This window comes from Homo sapiens, chromosome 19 (genome assembly GCF_000001405.40).
Source record: "Homo sapiens chromosome 19, GRCh38.p14 Primary Assembly".
NCBI classification, from domain to species: domain Eukaryota; kingdom Metazoa; phylum Chordata; class Mammalia; order Primates; family Hominidae; genus Homo; species Homo sapiens.
The window spans coordinates 35,532,243-35,548,208 of NC_000019.10; the positions used below are offsets into that span (position 1 = coordinate 35,532,243).

General features: G+C 55.1%; 2 protein-coding genes and 1 long non-coding RNA gene across 5 annotated transcripts, besides 6 other annotated features; 2 read left to right on the forward strand and 1 right to left on the reverse strand.

Annotated features, from left to right (window-relative positions):
* On the forward strand, positions 1,214 to 13,077 carry GAPDHS (glyceraldehyde-3-phosphate dehydrogenase, spermatogenic). The gene is made up of 11 exons (NM_014364.5): positions 1,214 to 1,352; positions 4,571 to 4,748; positions 6,065 to 6,161; positions 6,335 to 6,441; positions 10,077 to 10,167; positions 10,248 to 10,366; positions 10,703 to 10,784; positions 11,098 to 11,249; positions 11,423 to 11,585; positions 12,667 to 12,764; positions 12,856 to 13,077. Exons 1-11 carry the CDS (start codon positions 1,286 to 1,288, stop codon positions 12,926 to 12,928), a joined length of 1,227 nt encoding a protein of 408 aa, NP_055179.1. The 5' UTR covers positions 1,214 to 1,285; the 3' UTR covers positions 12,929 to 13,077.
* Positions 2,071 to 2,200: an enhancer, noted in NCBI's record as "active region_14483". NCBI's record gives its function as "activates an Ori minimal core promoter by ATAC-STARR-seq in GM12878 lymphoblastoid cells {active_cell/tissue: GM12878}" and the evidence as "EXISTENCE:reporter gene assay evidence [ECO:0000049][PMID:35858748]".
* Positions 7,891 to 8,390: an enhancer, noted in NCBI's record as "H3K4me1 hESC enhancer chr19:36031035-36031534 (GRCh37/hg19 assembly coordinates)". NCBI's record gives its function as "activates a minimal SCP1, AML or CMV promoter by ChIP-STARR-seq in naive H9 embryonic stem cells {active_cell/tissue: H9 hESC(naive)}" and the evidence as "EXISTENCE:reporter gene assay evidence [ECO:0000049][PMID:30033119]".
* On the reverse strand, positions 8,496 to 13,787 carry TMEM147-AS1 (TMEM147 antisense RNA 1). Its single transcript, NR_038396.1, has 4 exons — positions 13,695 to 13,787; positions 10,669 to 11,031; positions 9,509 to 9,832; positions 8,496 to 9,342 (listed from the first exon to the last, which is right to left on the reverse strand). It is a non-coding gene; the product is annotated as a TMEM147 antisense RNA 1 (long non-coding RNA).
* Positions 10,785 to 11,286: an enhancer, noted in NCBI's record as "H3K4me1 hESC enhancer chr19:36033929-36034430 (GRCh37/hg19 assembly coordinates)". NCBI's record gives its function as "activates a minimal SCP1, AML or CMV promoter by ChIP-STARR-seq in primed H9 embryonic stem cells {active_cell/tissue: H9 hESC(primed)}" and the evidence as "EXISTENCE:reporter gene assay evidence [ECO:0000049][PMID:30033119]".
* Positions 13,001 to 13,693: an enhancer, noted in NCBI's record as "H3K27ac hESC enhancer chr19:36036145-36036837 (GRCh37/hg19 assembly coordinates)". NCBI's record gives its function as "activates a minimal SCP1, AML or CMV promoter by ChIP-STARR-seq in primed H9 embryonic stem cells {active_cell/tissue: H9 hESC(primed)}" and the evidence as "EXISTENCE:reporter gene assay evidence [ECO:0000049][PMID:30033119]".
* Positions 13,001 to 13,965: a biological region, named in NCBI's record as "H3K27ac hESC enhancer GRCh37_chr19:36036145-36036837".
* On the forward strand, positions 13,384 to 15,284 carry TMEM147 (transmembrane protein 147). 3 transcript variants are annotated; one of them, NM_032635.4, is made up of 7 exons: positions 13,384 to 13,574; positions 13,646 to 13,715; positions 14,284 to 14,343; positions 14,430 to 14,566; positions 14,703 to 14,787; positions 14,877 to 14,998; positions 15,082 to 15,284. In NM_032635.4, exons 1-7 carry the CDS (start codon positions 13,498 to 13,500, stop codon positions 15,203 to 15,205), a joined length of 675 nt encoding a protein of 224 aa, NP_116024.1. In that variant the 5' UTR covers positions 13,384 to 13,497; the 3' UTR covers positions 15,206 to 15,284. The 3 variants fall into 3 exon arrangements, with proteins under 3 accessions (NP_116024.1, NP_001229526.1, NP_001229527.1); NM_001242597.2 differs by having other exon boundaries at positions 13,384 to 13,715; NM_001242598.2 differs by lacking the exons at positions 14,430 to 14,566; positions 14,703 to 14,787.
* Positions 13,386 to 13,965: a silencer, noted in NCBI's record as "silent region_10528". NCBI's record gives its function as "represses an Ori minimal core promoter by ATAC-STARR-seq in GM12878 lymphoblastoid cells {active_cell/tissue: GM12878}" and the evidence as "EXISTENCE:reporter gene assay evidence [ECO:0000049][PMID:35858748]".
* Positions 15,285 to 15,966: the final 682 nt, after the last annotated feature.

A 15,966-nucleotide genomic window follows, 5' to 3' on the forward strand; every position in this document is an offset into this window, starting at 1 on the left:
GTGATCCTCCCACCTCAGCCTCCCTAATAATTGGGACAACAGGCATGCACCACCACACCTGGCTACTTTTTTTATTTTTTGTAGATACAGGGTTTTGCCACATTGCCCATGTTGGTCTCAAACTCCTGGACTCAAATGATCCTCCCACCTCAGCCTCCCAAAGTGTTGGGATTACAGGCATGAGCCACTGCGTCCAGCCCACAAACACCTTTCAGGTGCCAAACACTTTTCTTGTCAATGGGATACAGAAGTGACATAGATGACGTCCCTGTCCTCTCAGAGCTTACAGTCTGGTGGACAGAGACAGTTGGCAAGAAAACAAACAATTTTTAGAGAGACATGTGCTCTAAGGAAAATAAAAACATAGACAGTGTAGCCCTAGAGAAATTTTGCACACTGAAGCATAACTCAGAATGGAGAAGTCAGACAAGGCTTCCTGGAAGATGGGCAGAAATTGGGAAGGGGGTGACGGCTGACAGTGACAGAGAAAGGAGGGAACTTAGATGCAGAGTGTAGAAAGCCTCTCTTAAAGGGTGGGAAACCAAGAGGCAGCCAAGGGAAGCCCTGGGTGGGCCTTCCAGGCATACGGAGGCAGCAAGAGTCACTCCACTGGAGAATCCAAGGGACAGCATGGAACCTGTGTGCTTCAAGAGACAGAGAAGAGGAAAGGGCTTTCAGGAACAGTGTAAAAGGTGGGATTCCAGGCTGGGTGTGGTGGCTCGCTCCTGTAATCCCAGCATTTTGGAAGGCCGAGGTGGGAGGATCGCTTGAGCCCAAGGGTTCTAGACCAGCCTGAGCAAAAGAGTGAGACCCTCTCTCTACAAAAAAATAAAAAGTAAAAATAGCCTGCAGTGGTGGCTGCACATGTAGTCCCAGCTACTCAGGAGGCCGAGGCGGGAGGATCGCTTGAGCCCAGGAGTTCAAGGCTGCAGTGAGCCATGATTGCACCACTGCACTCCAGCCTAGGAGAAAGAGTGACACCCCGTCTCAAAATAAATAAACAAATGATAATTTTAAAAAGTGGGATTCCATTCCAGACGGCAGTGCGTGGCCGTGGAACGGTGATGCATAGCGTGCTGACGTCCCATGCCTCTACGGGGATGGGATGCGATGGTGTCAGGCCTCTGGCTTGGGCGCCGCCCCTCGGCGACGTCACTGGGTACTGTGACGTCACTGGGTGCTGTGACATCAGGGCAATTAGCCCAGGACCCACAGCCCTGGCGCTCCGCACGCACCTCGGTAACATCACAGCAGGTCCAGGCCAATGATAACCTTATAAGAGGCCATGTCGAAGCGCGACATCGTCCTCACCAATGTCACCGTTGTCCAGTTGCTGCGACAGCCGTGCCCGGGTGAGGGAGGCAGCGGAGGGCGCGGGGGAGGGGTGGAAAGGGTAGTGGGGAGCGTCTGCACCCTCACACCTGTGCCGTATCCCTACCGCCCTTCCTGGCGTGTGCACCATCTAGGGACCAGGGGATCAGCCGCTCTCCCTCCCTCCACACCCGCCAGTGTGCTGGCAGAGTGGGGTTTACTGCCATGGCGGGGAGACCGGGCCTCCGCCCCCAGGGCTGGGTGGGCTTCGCGCCGCTATCACGCGGTAGAAAGAGCAGAAACGAGGGCCATCGGAGGCTGCAGCCTGAAAGTGGCGGGAAGTGGGCGGGCTTAGGAGGGGCTTAGGGAGAACCCAGGGGTGCTGGGCTTCCATGTAAAAGTGATGTTCATGGCGCTTCGCGTGAGGTGAGCTTTGCCCTCCCTGTGATGCACAAAACAAGGACACTTGGAACCTTGCCGGGGACGTGCTGACCACTTCGCAGGCGAGAGCTCAGGGAAGCCTCACCACCACCTGAGAAGGCCAGAGTGTGCCCGCAGTTTACAGAGCGGCCAACAGAGGTTAAGAGAGGGCAAACTACTTCCTTAGTCTCTCAACAAGGGCGGCGCGCCCGCGCGCGCGCACACACACACACACACACTCACTCACTCACTCTAGCCGGAGGAACCAGGTCTTCCGGTGGGCTGCCTCCATTCCCACACTGTTCCCTCACTTCCCAAGGGCGGGGGCCGCAGGGGTAGGTGGGGCTGGGGCTTTGGTCCAGGAGACCCTGGAAGACACAGGAGCAGACAGGCTTACCAGCCTCATGAGACTTGAACCCCTGCCCTGCGCATCACTGCTCCGTGGCCTCAGGCTTCATTTTCCCCTCTGTAAAGTGGGTTTATAGCGCATGCCTCTCGGGATTCAGTGGGAGGACGCAGTGAGGAGCTGGGGGCAGCACCCAGCTAGCCCCCAGGCTTTTCTCCAACCGGGGGACCCCACCCCTACAGTGGAGGGGAAGAGAGTGCAAGGCTGGGAGTGCTGGGAGAGGAGGACCATCTGAGTTTTCTTCGGAAGGGTCACCCATTGGGCTCAGATTCCCACCTGAACCAGGTGGACAAATCCCCTTTCTCCCATAGCAGAAACAACCCCCAAGGATGCAAACATCCTCAAGTTCACCAATAAACACTAACACCTTCATGAACTTGGACAGCCACTGGAAACACCTATAGTCCAGCCTCAGGCCACAAGGTCTGTGGCAACAGGGAGAGGTCAGGGAGACAGACAGGCCAGCTGGCCCCCGGCTCCCAGCCCCACCACCCCCCAGGTGCCTTTGATTTGGTGCCAAAAACTTGGACTCCCACTACCCCCTTCCAGCCCTTCTCCACCCCCTGCTGTCTCCCTTTCCTCAGGAATCTGTGTAGGATCAGACTTCCCTCCTCTATTAAAATCAGCTCCTATGTGTGGGCCTCGAGATCTCACTGCGCCCTCACAGCAGCCCCTAGGTGGGGGATCAGCCCCAAGAGGTTCATTAACTTGCTCAAATCCACAGAGCAGCAGGTCTGTGTGGACTGAGCCAGGCTTGACTTTCCAGCTTGAAACTCTCTGCCACCAGGTCCCCTGAGTCTCCACTTCTCCCCTCTTCTCAAGCCCTCCTCTGTAGCTCAGGCGGCTGCTACCTCCAGGCGCAGGTGTTTTTAAGTGCAGTCTGGGAGCAGGAGTGTGTGTGGAGAGGTGGGAGCCAATGTGAGCTTCCATGGGTTTCACAGAGTATGATACACGGTACTCTCTAAGCTTCCCTGAGGATAAGAAATGCCTGGAGTGCTTATTTTATTTTTTATTTTTTTTTGGGAGATGGAGTTTCGCTCTTGTTGCCCAGGCTGGAGTGCAGTGGCACGATCTCGCCCACCACAACCTCCGCCTCCTGGGTTCAAGCGATTCTCCTGCTTCAGCCTCCTGAGTAGCTGGGATTACAAGCATGTGCCACCACGCCTGGCTAATTTTTTTGTATTTTTAGTAGAGACGGGGTTTCTGCATGTTGGTCAGACTGGTCTCAAACTCCCAACCTCAGGTGATCTGCCTGCCTCGGCCTCCCAAAGTGCTGGGATTACAGGCGTGAGCCACCGCTCCCGGCCTGGAGTGCTGATTAAAAACAGGATTTCTGGGCCTCCATACAGACCCACTGAGTCCGATTTTTCTAGGAAGAGCCCTCCTCAGGTGATTTTTTTTTTTTTTTGAGACAGAGTCTCACTCTGTCGCCCAGGCTGGAGTGCAGTGGCGCAATCTCGGCTCACTGCACCCTCCGCCTCCCAGGTTCAAGAGATTCTCTTGCCTCAGCCCCCCGAGGAGCTGGGATTACAGTATTTTTAGTAGAGAACAGGTTTCTCCATGTTGGCCAAGCTGGTCTTGAACTCCTGACCTCAAGTGATCCACCCACCTTGGCCTCCCAAAGTGCCAGGATTACAGGTGTGAGCCACCACGCCTGGCCACTCCGACGACTCCTATCATGGAACAGTTTGGGGACCACTGGGCTAAATCAATTATTGGACAAATTCGGGGAACAATCTACAAAATACTAATGCATGTCAAACATTTCCTCGGCTTGGTCATAAGCAATCCATGTATTACCTCATTTAATCCTCACAACAACCCTCTAAGAAAAGTACTATTATCTCCCCTTACAGAGGAGGAAACTGAGGCACAGAGAATGTCACCCCAAGCGATCTATGTTGAAAGTACATACCCCGGCCAGGCGCAGTGGCTCACACCTGTAATCCCAGCACTTTGGGAGGCTGAGGCGGGTGGATCACCTAAGGTCAGGAGTTCGAGACCAGCCTGGCCAAGTGAAACCCTGTATCTACTAAAAATACAAAAATTAGCCAGGCACCTTGGCGGGTGCTTATAATCCCAGCTACTCGGGAGGCTGAGGCAGGAGAATCACTTGAACCCAGGAGGCGGAGGTTGCAGTAAGCCAAGATCAGTCCACTGCACTCCAGCCTGGGTGACAGAGCAATACTCTGTCTCGGGAAAAAAAAAACAACGGAAGTACATAACCAGTGAATTAGAATCTCCAGGAAAGAGCCCTTGGGATTGACATTTTAAACAAGTTCATTCTGTAGAGAAAGTGGGTTTGGGAAACACTGGGCTAAATGGTTGGTCACGAGGGGCCAGGAGCCAGCAACAGATTCTGGGCAGCAAAGACAGTTTGTTCTCTTTCACTTTGGTGGTCATGCAACCCATTCCCTCCCTTCCCCCGCATAGTGACCAGAGCACCGCCCCCACCTGAGCCTAAGGCTGAAGTAGAGCCCCAGCCACAACCAGAGCCCACACCAGTCAGGGAGGAAATAAAGCCACCACCGCCACCACTGCCTCCTCACCCCGCTACTCCTCCTCCTAAGATGGTGTCTGTGGCCCGGGAGCTGACTGTGGGCATCAATGGGTGAGTCTACTCCAGCCCCTGATCAGTCTGAAGCCTTAGAGCCCAGCCCCTCCTCTGGCTGCTAACTGGGGGCACCTCCACATTTCCCCCCATCAATGCTTTCGTTCCGACGACCCTGGAGAAATAGCCCGGAGCAAGGCAGACAGGGCCCCATGCTCAGCAGCATGCTGGTGGGGAAGACAGTAATCAAATAAAGAAATTAGATTGTTCAGTAGAGTGTGCTGGGAACAGTGTAGAATCCAGTGGAAAAGTCAGGCTGGAGAGGGCAGCCTTTGCCAGTGATCAGGGAAGGCCTTGGGGAGAAGGTGTCATTGGAGCGGGACCAGAGTGATGAGACACAGCCAGCTCCCAGGGCACCTTGCTGGGGAAGGAGTCTTCCAGGCAGCGGGACAAGCAATGATTCTGGGGCAGAGGCGAGCTCAGTATGTTCAGGGACAGCCAGGAAGTCAGAGTGGCTGGTGTCCACCAAGCAAAGGGAAAAGGAGGGAGGCCAGTGAGAAGCCCGGAGGGGGCTGCTACACCACAGTAAGGAGTGTGGATCTTGTTTTACTGATGGACAGTCGTGGATGTTTTCATGCCAAGAGACGTAATCTGTCTTGAAGTTTTAAGATCCATCCAGGCTCTCACACCTGTAAACCCAGCACTTTGGGAGGCCAAGGTAGGAGAATCCTTTGAGACCAGGAGTTTGAGACCAGCGTGGGCAACATAGCGAGACTCTGTCTCTACAGAAAAAAATTGTTTTAATTGTTTAATGAAAAAATAAAAGATCCATCCAGCTACAAGGTTAAGAATAGGGGTTAGGAGCCAGGCGCAGTGGCTCACGCCTGTAATCCCAGCACTTTGGGAGGCCAAGGCGGGTCTATCAACTTGAGGTCAGGAGTTCGAGACCAGCCTGGCCAACATGGCAAAACCCCGTCTCTATTAAAAATACAAAAATTAGCCAGGTGTGGTGGTACGCGCCTGTAGTCCCAGCTACTTGGGAGGCTGAGGCAGGAGAATCACTTGAACCCAGGAGGCAGAGGTTGCAATGAGCCCAGATAGCGCCACTGCACTCCAGCCTGGGCGAAAGAGCTGGATTCCATCTCAAAATATATATATATATATATGTATATATGGGTTAGGGAACGGATTGGGAGAGGGAGCTGAAAAAGCAGTTAAAGGGGCTGGTGAGGTCATCTTGGCAAGAGATGCCCATGGCCAGCACAGAGGTTGTTGCCTTCTTCCCCTGGATTAAGGATTCCCAACCAGGCTCCTTGAGGGAGCCTCCTCTCCATTACCCCCTTCTCTCCCATCCCTTCCTGTCTGTCCCTGGCCAGATTTGGACGCATCGGTCGCCTGGTCCTGCGCGCCTGCATGGAGAAGGGTGTTAAGGTGGTGGCTGTGAATGATCCATTCATTGACCCGGAATACATGGTCAGTAGCTGGCAGAGGGCAGGAACAGCAGGGTGGGACTGGGGTGGGAAAGGGACTCAGGGAAGCTGTATGGAAGGCTCTCAGCTGTAATGTGAGACCTTCACCAAAGAGGGGACTCTCTAGGGATCCTCACCCTGCCACCCCAAGACTAGGAGCCATTCCATCCCCCACAGGTGTACATGTTTAAGTATGACTCCACCCACGGCCGATACAAGGGAAGTGTGGAATTCAGGAATGGACAACTGGTCGTGGACAACCATGAGATCTCTGTCTACCAGTGGTAAGGAAAGCATCTGTCTGATGCACGGCTGTGACATATTGAGGCAGGGCATGTGGAGGTGGCTAAAATGGGATTCCAGCCTCTCACATGGGGTGCTGAAACCACCCCCAAAATTGCGTGTGCATGCCTCTAGGTACTAATTTGAAGAGGGAAGTCTCAGGTCCTTCACCCCTAAAATGATTAAGAAGCACTAATCTAAAAAGATGCCTCACTGTACTGAAGAATGCTTTTTCTTTATATTTTTTTTAGGGACGGGGTATCACTCTTTTGCCCAGTCTGGAGTGCAGTGGTGTAATCATAGCTCACCGCATCCTTGACCTCCCGGGCTCAAGTGGTCCTCCCACCTCGGCCTCCCAAGTAGTGGGCACCAGCCACCACACCTGGCAAATTTTTTGTAGAGATGAGGTCTTGCCATCTGGCCCAGGCTGGTCTCAAACTCCTGGCCCCAAGCAATCCTCCCACCTTGGCCTCCCAGAGTGCTGGGATTACAGGCAGGAGCCACTGCATTTTGCTTTAACGCACATTTGCATGTTTTCTCGTGGGCATATCAACATGTCCAGAACTCAACTCTTGATTCCCCTTCAACCCACACCTATTCAGCTCCCATTGACCACTGCTGGTCAACTATGCCTGAATTCCAAAGGGAGGAAGGTATAATGAGGCTTGTGCGAACATCCGAACATCCGTTCCCATCATGGCCTGAACCAGTGTTTCAGTTTTACTTTAGAATGCCCTGGGCCGAGAGAAGGGCTACATTCAGTTAGTTGGGGGAGTTTAGAATTTTATTTTTGGCTGACATTCACCTTTCTAATGTAAACTATTAGCGACTCCTGGCTCTGTGGCTGCCTGGGGCTTTTACACATACACACCCACAGGCCCACACACATGCAAATACACACAGGCACACTAGTGAACCCTGTCTGGGCCCAGGCAGGGTCTGCAGCCTCCCCAGCGCCCCTCCCCACAGATCTAATCTCAGCCCTTCTCCTTGTACTTACTGGGGGTAGGGTGAGTGATAAAGGGGCAGGGATGGGTGCAGGAAGTTTGTGGGCAGGGGGCAGAGACTGGAGAGTCAGTGAAAATTGAAGAAAGCTGCTTAACCCAAGTTTGAAATCATGACACTAGAAACAACTCCAGCACCATAGTTATCACGCAGACTTCAACGTGGCCACCACCATTACCGCCACTTGGAGTCATCCCTCTTCCCCACCTAGCTGCCCCCTCCGTCCACGGTCCCGACTCAGGTCTTGCCTTCTCTGGTCACTTGTGCAATGCAGTTCCCCGCCCCTCCAGCCCCCTCTCCATCCCCGCACTGTTGGGCTGCACAAGCCAGGCTGTGTGCCTGCACTCTGCCCTGCACCTCCGCTAGCTAGCTGGGTGACCTTGGGCAAGGAACCAAACTTGCCTGAGCCTCAGTTCCCCGCTGTATCTGATGGGGATGATGAGCAAACCCACCACAGCGGTAGCTGGGAGCACGAATGGAGTGAACATGTGTTTGTGGACACTTAAACGGGCACTTCCCACAAGGCCATGGCCTTGCACGGAGGGCTCTGTCAACTGGTACCACCACTGTTGCTCTGGCATTAGCAGGTACAGGCCCTGATAGCCATTCAGAACTTCCTTTGAATGAATGAATGGAATCCTCAAAACAGCCTGGTGGGCAGGAGGCTGGGGCCCATGACAGCCTTGGGGAGGGCCTGGGGTCTTCTGGGGGCACAGTCTTTGCCTCAGGCCAACTCAGCAATTGTTGCAGAGGAATCGCAAGTGTCCCTAATTTGGAAGGCAGGAAATGGGGGGTATCTGAGAAGAGCTCGTTGGGCCAGATGATGGAAAGTGGACTGACAGAGCAGGAGACAGGAAGAGGATAACCATGCATGTGTGATGGCTTTGCAGGGCAGCCCATTCATTCATTCATTCAGGCAGTGGAAACAGGAGTGCAGACCCGAGGTGGGACCAGCCACCTGCACTCCAGCAGGCTCTCCCTCTCACTCCCCTCCCCTCTGCCCTGACAGCAGTAAAAAAATGCAAAAAATGACAGCGGTAGCACTTCCTCATCGGGTTGTGAAGGTTACATGAGTTTAATGCAGGTAAGGCACTTAGAATATGGGCACAGGACAGGTGTTCAGTAAACACGTATAAAATGGCTAACTAAAAAAAAAACACGAGGCCAGGTGCAGAGGCTCATGCCTGTCATCCCAGCACTTTGGGAGGCTGAAGTGGGGATCACCTGAGGTCAGGAGTTTGAGACCAGCCTGGCCAACAGAGCAAACCCCGTCACCACTAAAAATACAAAAAACAACAACAATAAAAAACTAGCCAGGTGTGGTAGCGCATGCCTGTAACCCCAACTACTCGGGAGGCGGAGGCAGGAGAATCGCTTGAACCCGGAAGGTGGAGGTTGCAGTGAGCCAAAATCGTGCCACTGCACTCCAGCCTGAGTGACAGAGTGAGACTCTGTCTCAAAAACAAAACAAAACAAAACAAAGAAAACCCATGAGGCCAGGCACGGTGGCTCACACCTGTAATCCCAGCACTGTGGGAGGTCAAGGATCACTTGAGCCCAGGGGTTCTAAAGCACCCTGGGCAACAAAAGTGAGACCCCATCTCTACAAAAAAATTTAAAAATTAGCTTGGCATGGTGGTGTGCGCCTGTAGTCCCAGCTACTCGGGAGGCCAAGGCAGGAGGATGGCCGGAGCCAGGAAGATCAAGGCTGCAGTGAGCTCTGATTGCACCACTGCACTCCAGCCTGGGCGACAGAGGAAGACCCTGTCTCAAAACAAACAAACCCCACAAACATTGATTGAACCCCCCATTGAGGGGAGCAGGCTCAATGGCAAAGGAAACAGACCGACACTGGCCAAGAATCACAGAAGCAAAGCACCCGGTTACTCATGATAAACCTGGGAAGGAAGAAAGTGGAACAGTTTATTCACTTAATGCTTGTTTGCTAAAGCCAAGTAGAAAACGGCAATACTAGATGTTTAGTGTGCTTCAAATACAAATGTTTGTCAAAATACCAAGTAAAAACATAAATTTATAAAACAGGAAACCAGAAACCTCCCTTACCTTTCCAATGTAAACCATGAGCCACTGCTGCCCCAAGGCTGCCTCAGGCTTCAGGAGTCCTCCAGGAGCTTTTTCTTTAATGCAGTGTCTGTTTTCAGGGACCCTCCTGGCCTTTGGCAGCCAGCTTCCTATTGCAGGAGCTGAGGGTCTAGGAGGGTTCATGGCGAGGTTGTCAGAGCTGGGAAGCAGAAAGCAGCCGGGCAGGCCTCACAGTCACAGAGTCCACGTCCCGGGCAGCATATGGAGAAAGGGTCTGGGCTGGCTGACAGCAGTCAGCATTGGCGCCTCTGAGGAGGTTGAGGGCTGAGTTGGGGAGGTCACCACCTGTACCCAGGCATAACAGGGGTGGTGCAATCAGCAAAGGGAAAGTGGTCTGAAGTGGGGCAGTGGTGAAAAGCTAGGCCAGCGGGGTGGAGCCCATCTGGAACAAGTAGGTGTGTGGGGTAGGGGACGCAGGTGGTTGCAGGTGGGCCGGTACCTGCTCAGCCTGTCAAATGGTGAAAGCCATGGACTATGAAGGTGGGGCTCAAGCAGGGGAGACTGACTCAGCCCTGCCACTTCCCCACAGCAAAGAGCCCAAACAGATCCCCTGGAGGGCTGTCGGGAGCCCCTACGTGGTGGAGTCCACAGGCGTGTACCTCTCCATACAGGCAGCTTCGGTAAGCTGGGGAGAGGTGCCCAGGGCTAGCTGGGGGGATGATGGTGCCAGAAGCCCCTGACACCTGCGCTTCCTCCCCAGGACCACATCTCTGCAGGTGCTCAACGTGTGGTCATCTCCGCGCCCTCACCGGATGCACCAATGTTCGTCATGGGTGTCAATGAAAATGACTATAACCCTGGCTCCATGAACATTGTGAGGTAATGTGGGCAGTGACATCCTGCAATGTGTGGAAGGGAGGGTAGACTCGTCCTCCCCACCCTCAGCCCCACTGGATTCCTGGTCGCTTGGCTTCTGCTTCTCCTTCCCGAAACTATCTGCTAAAAACGCATGACTTCCAGAGGACAAGCTTGGGGAGCCTCCCCAGCTGCACCTCAGTGCCTCCTTCAGTCTGACAGTGTCCCCACAGATCCCTCTCACCCTCATCCTGACGTTTCATAAAACCAAGTCTGCGTGCATACCCCAAGAGGGGTAAGGGTGGAGGGGTGGCTCTGCGACTCACCTCACAGTGTCCGTGCACACCTTGGCTGTTTCAGCAACGCGTCCTGCACCACCAACTGTTTGGCTCCCCTCGCCAAAGTCATCCACGAGCGATTTGGGATCGTGGAAGGGTTGATGGTGAGTTGAGGATGAGGGGCTGGGGCAGGAAGGATGGCAGGGAAACCCAACTTCTTCCCGGGCCTTGCTTACTGTATGGAGTTAAGAGGGAGAGACTGGTTTCGGGAGGAGAGGCCCACCAGTGCAGAAGTCACTTAAAACACTGTGCAACCCTCAGGCAAGGCTGGACCCTGGCCTGCACACATCCCCTCCTGTGGTCTGTGGTGGTGGCCCCACCAGCCTCCACACCTAGGCCACCAACTTAGTCCTGGAAAAAAGAGGCATGGGAGCTTAGGAGCATGAAGGCCTCATCTTGGTCCTTCTCTTCCCCAAGACCACAGTCCATTCCTACACGGCCACCCAGAAGACAGTGGACGGGCCATCAAGGAAGGCCTGGCGAGATGGGCGGGGTGCCCACCAGAACATCATCCCAGCCTCCACTGGGGCTGCGAAAGCTGTGACCAAAGTCATCCCAGAGCTCAAAGGGTATGAGGACAAGAAGCTGCAACCAGGGTGGGGGCATACGCCAGGAGGACTGGACTGGCCCGGCCCTCAGTCCTTAAGAGGAAAGCAGGGGCCTGGCCCAGCCACAGGGAAAGGGGGAATGGAGGGCAACGTCCCTAAGTTCTGACTCCTGTTCCTCATGGGGGATTCTCCAGGAAGCTGACAGGGATGGCGTTCCGGGTACCAACCCCGGATGTGTCTGTCGTGGACCTGACCTGCCGCCTCGCCCAGCCTGCCCCCTACTCAGCCATCAAGGAGGCTGTAAAAGCAGCAGCCAAGGGGCCCATGGCTGGCATCCTTGCCTACACCGAGGATGAGGTAGGGGCTGAGGAGAGGAGACCCTGGGAGGAGCCCTCTGGGAAGGGACATGATTTCCACTTGCCAGGGAGCTGCTCTCAATGTGCCAAGTCAGAAACTGCAGGGCAGGAAGGGAGATCTCCCTGCCTCAGGGCCTTTGCACTTGCTGTTCCTTTAGTCTGGAATGCTTCCCTTGCCAGGTGACCATACAGTCTGTCCTTACTTCCTCCAAGTCTCTGGAGGAACCTCCCTCTTCAGCAAGGCACCCCCTCAAAATATGTTCTTTTTGTGGCCATATTCCTCACCTGAAATTTCATTTCATAGTCACTGTTGGCCCCAGTGGTGTGTGCACTCCAAGAAAACAGGGATTTAGGGGCTGCCTTTTCACTTTTGTGGCTCCAACCTGGCATACAGCAGGTGACTAATACATGCTTAGTGAACAAAAGACAACAGCTCCCATTTTTTTCAATACTTGCTCAGGGCCAGGCCATGGCCAGATGCCTTCTCTGTGAGGAGTGGATGCCATGGTCATGGTGGACCCCTGTACATCCACCTTGGTGCTGTCTCCCTGCATTAACTCCTGCAGGTCCACTTTCCCACAGTCACTGGGATCTTTTGTTTTAATGGAATCACATTGCATCACCCGTTTTCAGGATTGAAAACACTCCTGTGGCCTTTCATGACACTAGGGCTAAAACCCTCAGGTCCTCCCTTCCTGCAGCTCCTTCTACCTCAGACACTGTGCTGAGGGCCCCAGCCGGTCAGATCTTTCTAGTCATCTAGACCCAGGCTCATGGCCACCCCTCAGAGAGGCCCTCCATGCTGGCCCATTCCAAACGCTTGCATTATTCCTAGGAAAGGGATGTACTGGTACAGCATGAGGGTGTTTGTGACCTGTGCCCTTTGGCCAGACCCTGACACAGTGCCTTGGTCATACCCTGCACTTGGTCATACCCTCCAGTCCAGAGACTGGACACAGTAGGGCTACATCAAATATTATAGATGAATGCATGGATGGGCGATAGAGTTAAGAGTCGGGGCCTCAGCTCCTGGAGGTCCTTGCTCTGCCGGACACACTTATCTTTGAAATTCTGACTTCCAGGTCGTCTCTACGGACTTCCTCGGTGATACCCACTCGTCCATCTTCGATGCTAAGGCCGGCATTGCGCTCAATGACAATTTCGTGAAGCTCATTTCATGGTAAGGGGGAAGGAGCTGGAGACTTAGAGGGAGGGGAACTAAGGGGTGGTCGGAAGGAACCCCCTTGAACCTCCCGACCCCTCCTCCACAGGTACGACAACGAATATGGCTACAGTCACCGGGTGGTCGACCTCCTCCGCTACATGTTCAGCCGAGACAAGTGAAACGGGAAGGTCCTTTCTTTCCTTCCCAGGGGCCGGGGCCGGAACATGTGCCTCCCGTTCCAGCATCTGGCTGCCCGGGGGAGGAAGGACACCCGGGGCGGGCGCCCCACGCCGATGGGTCCATGGTGAAATAAAAAACAGTGCTCACGGCTGCGTCCCGTATCTCTGCGCCGGTCAGGGCGGGTTCTGATCCGGGTTTGAGGCCCGCCCCACCCTTACTCGATCGCCTGCGCCCACGGGCGAGGGGTCGCGCTCGACTCCAAGCCGGGTTCCACTTCAGGAGACCGGGACCGCGATGGCAGCGGTAGAGGCCCCGCATGGCCGGAAGTCACTCCCCAAAGCGCTGGGCCGGCAGCGGTGGGACCCAGGGCCGGCCACGGGCTCTCTGACGTCACTGGGCGCGACGCCCCGCGCCGGGACTACTGCTCCCAGAAGGTCGCGCGCGGGCCCCCGCCAGTCAGGTGGGTGCCAGGCCCTGGCCGTGGCGAAAGAGCCGGCGGAGCCGGAGACCCGCTCCCGGAGACGCCGCCTCGCGATCCCCGCGCGGGCGGGACCGGGCGGCCGGCATCATGACCCTGTTTCACTTCGGGAACTGCTTCGCTCTTGCCTACTTCCCCTACTTCATCACCTACAAGTGCAGCGGCCTGTGAGTGCGGGAAGGGCGCGGGGCGGAGAGGGCGCGGGGCCCGGGCCGACCCTCACCTCCCGCTTCTCCAGGTCCGAGTACAACGCCTTCTGGAAATGCGTCCAGGCTGGAGTCACCTACCTCTTTGTCCAACTCTGCAAGGTGAGGGCCACCGGGAAGCCACGTGTTCTGGCCCCCAGGCTCTGCAGACCCAGGGACCCGCCCCCGTTGCCTATCCGCGCCCCCGCCGCCCCACGGTGGGACCGCCCTCGGGACTCCGCACTGGGAGGCGTCAGGATACCTAGAGAGGATGGACTTTAAAGAGGGCACGACCTGAGAAGAGACCTAGAAGCAACTTTTGCGTAGCACTTAGTAAAACTGAGAAAACCTCAGTAGTGTGGTTGGCTAACAGGTTTTTTTTGGTGCGGTTAAGAGTGATCACTGATTCCGTACGTGCTGCTAACACTGCCCAAGGAGCAGCACCTTCAGACCTGACTCAGATGCCCTGTGATCACCCAGAACTCAAACTTCCAGCCCCCTCGGGGACCCGGGGACCTATCCTCTATCTCCCCGATTCCTGTAATTTTGCCACCATCTGGTGGTTCCTCTTCCAGATGGGCCCCCAGAACCTGTCCTGCCCTCTTCCTACCCACGAACTTCCCACAAATCCCACGTGGTTTATCTTGATCCCCTCACCTTGAAGTGACCTCTTTCTGCTTTCTGTTCTCAGATGCTGTTCTTGGCCACTTTCTTTCCCACCTGGGAAGGCGGCATCTATGACTTCATTGGGGTGAGAGGGGCCAGGGAAGGGAAGGGAGTTCAGGAATGGGGCTCCCTGTCCCCCTGTGCTTACTTAAGCCTCAACCTGACCCGCAGGAGTTCATGAAGGCCAGCGTGGATGTGGCAGACCTGATAGGTCTAAACCTTGTCATGTCCCGGAATGCCGGCAAGGGAGAGTACAAGATCATGGTTGCTGCCCTGGGCTGGGCCACTGCTGAGCTTATTATGTCCCGGTGCGTACAGCAGCCTGGAGCCCAGACCCCTGAGAAGGGACACCTGGGTTCCACGGGGGTGCTGGAGGGCAGGGGCTCAAAGCCTGGTGCTGAAGGTGTCTGAGTACTGGAGAATCCCATCCTTTGCCTTCCTCAGCTGCATTCCCCTATGGGTCGGAGCCCGGGGCATTGAGTTTGACTGGAAGTACATCCAGATGAGCATAGACTCCAACATCAGTCTGGTAGGCAGTCGTGCTCTCCCACATACACATTTCTGCTGGCGGCCATACTCCTCCCCAAGGCCTGGCCCCGACTTTCTGCCTCCCTCTAGGTCCATTACATCGTCGCGTCTGCTCAGGTCTGGATGATAACACGCTATGATCTGTACCACACCTTCCGGCCAGCTGTCCTCCTGCTGATGTTCCTCAGTGTCTACAAGGCCTTTGTTATGGAGTGAGTTGGGTGGGGTTTAGGGCTGGGTCCAAAGTGGGGTGGGTTATCTAGTCTCCCTTCCTTATTGTGACATTTTCCTGCAGGACCTTCGTCCACCTCTGCTCGCTGGGCAGTTGGGCAGCTCTACTGGCCCGAGCAGTGGTAACGGGGCTGCTGGCCCTCAGCACTTTGGCCCTGTATGTCGCCGTTGTCAATGTGCACTCCTAGGCTTGGTGTCTCAGACATTGATGTACCTTTTCCCTGCCTCACTCCAGGTTTTAGTGAAGTAAACAGTATTTGGAAAGTTGTTGCTGCCTCCATTTCTCTCTCTTGGGAACTGTCTCCCAATACCGTGTCCACCTGGGTCTCAGAGGCCCTGGTTCTGTCTCAGGAGCCAGGTAGACAAGCTGGAAGCTAGCCAGTCACTGACTTGTCCCATGTCTTGTTCCTCAGGCTCCTGGTTTGCCAGGAGTAGACAGAAGGTTTGGATGATCTTTGAGCAGTGGCAGAGGCCAGGGCCCTCAGGGAACAGATGATAGAGGGGAGCTAGAATCCAAGAGAAGGCCCTTGGGGGGCTCTTCCTCCTCACAGCCCCAACCTGGGCCTCCTCACATGGGCCCTTCCCGGGCTGGTTGCCTCTGAGGCTCCTGGCCCCAGTGTCCCCCTCCAATCCATCCTCTGTATGGCAGCCAGGGGATCTATCTGAAACCCGTCTAACCAGGTCATCCTCCCACTTGCAGCCACTTGCGGCCCCTTGTTACACAGTGGACAGTCCAATTGCTTGGCCTTTGGTTTTACCCAACCAGCAAAACCAGCTTTTCTGAAACTGCTCCCTAGAATAATTTGTCCAGCCAGATTCTTAACATCGTTCAAGCCATGGGGTCAGCATGGGGCTGGGGGGAGAGTTGTGACTGTGAGCTCCTCAGTTCTATGGCCCTCAGATCAGATCCCAGCCTGAGCCTTCTCAGGGTGGAGTGGAGAGACAGCTG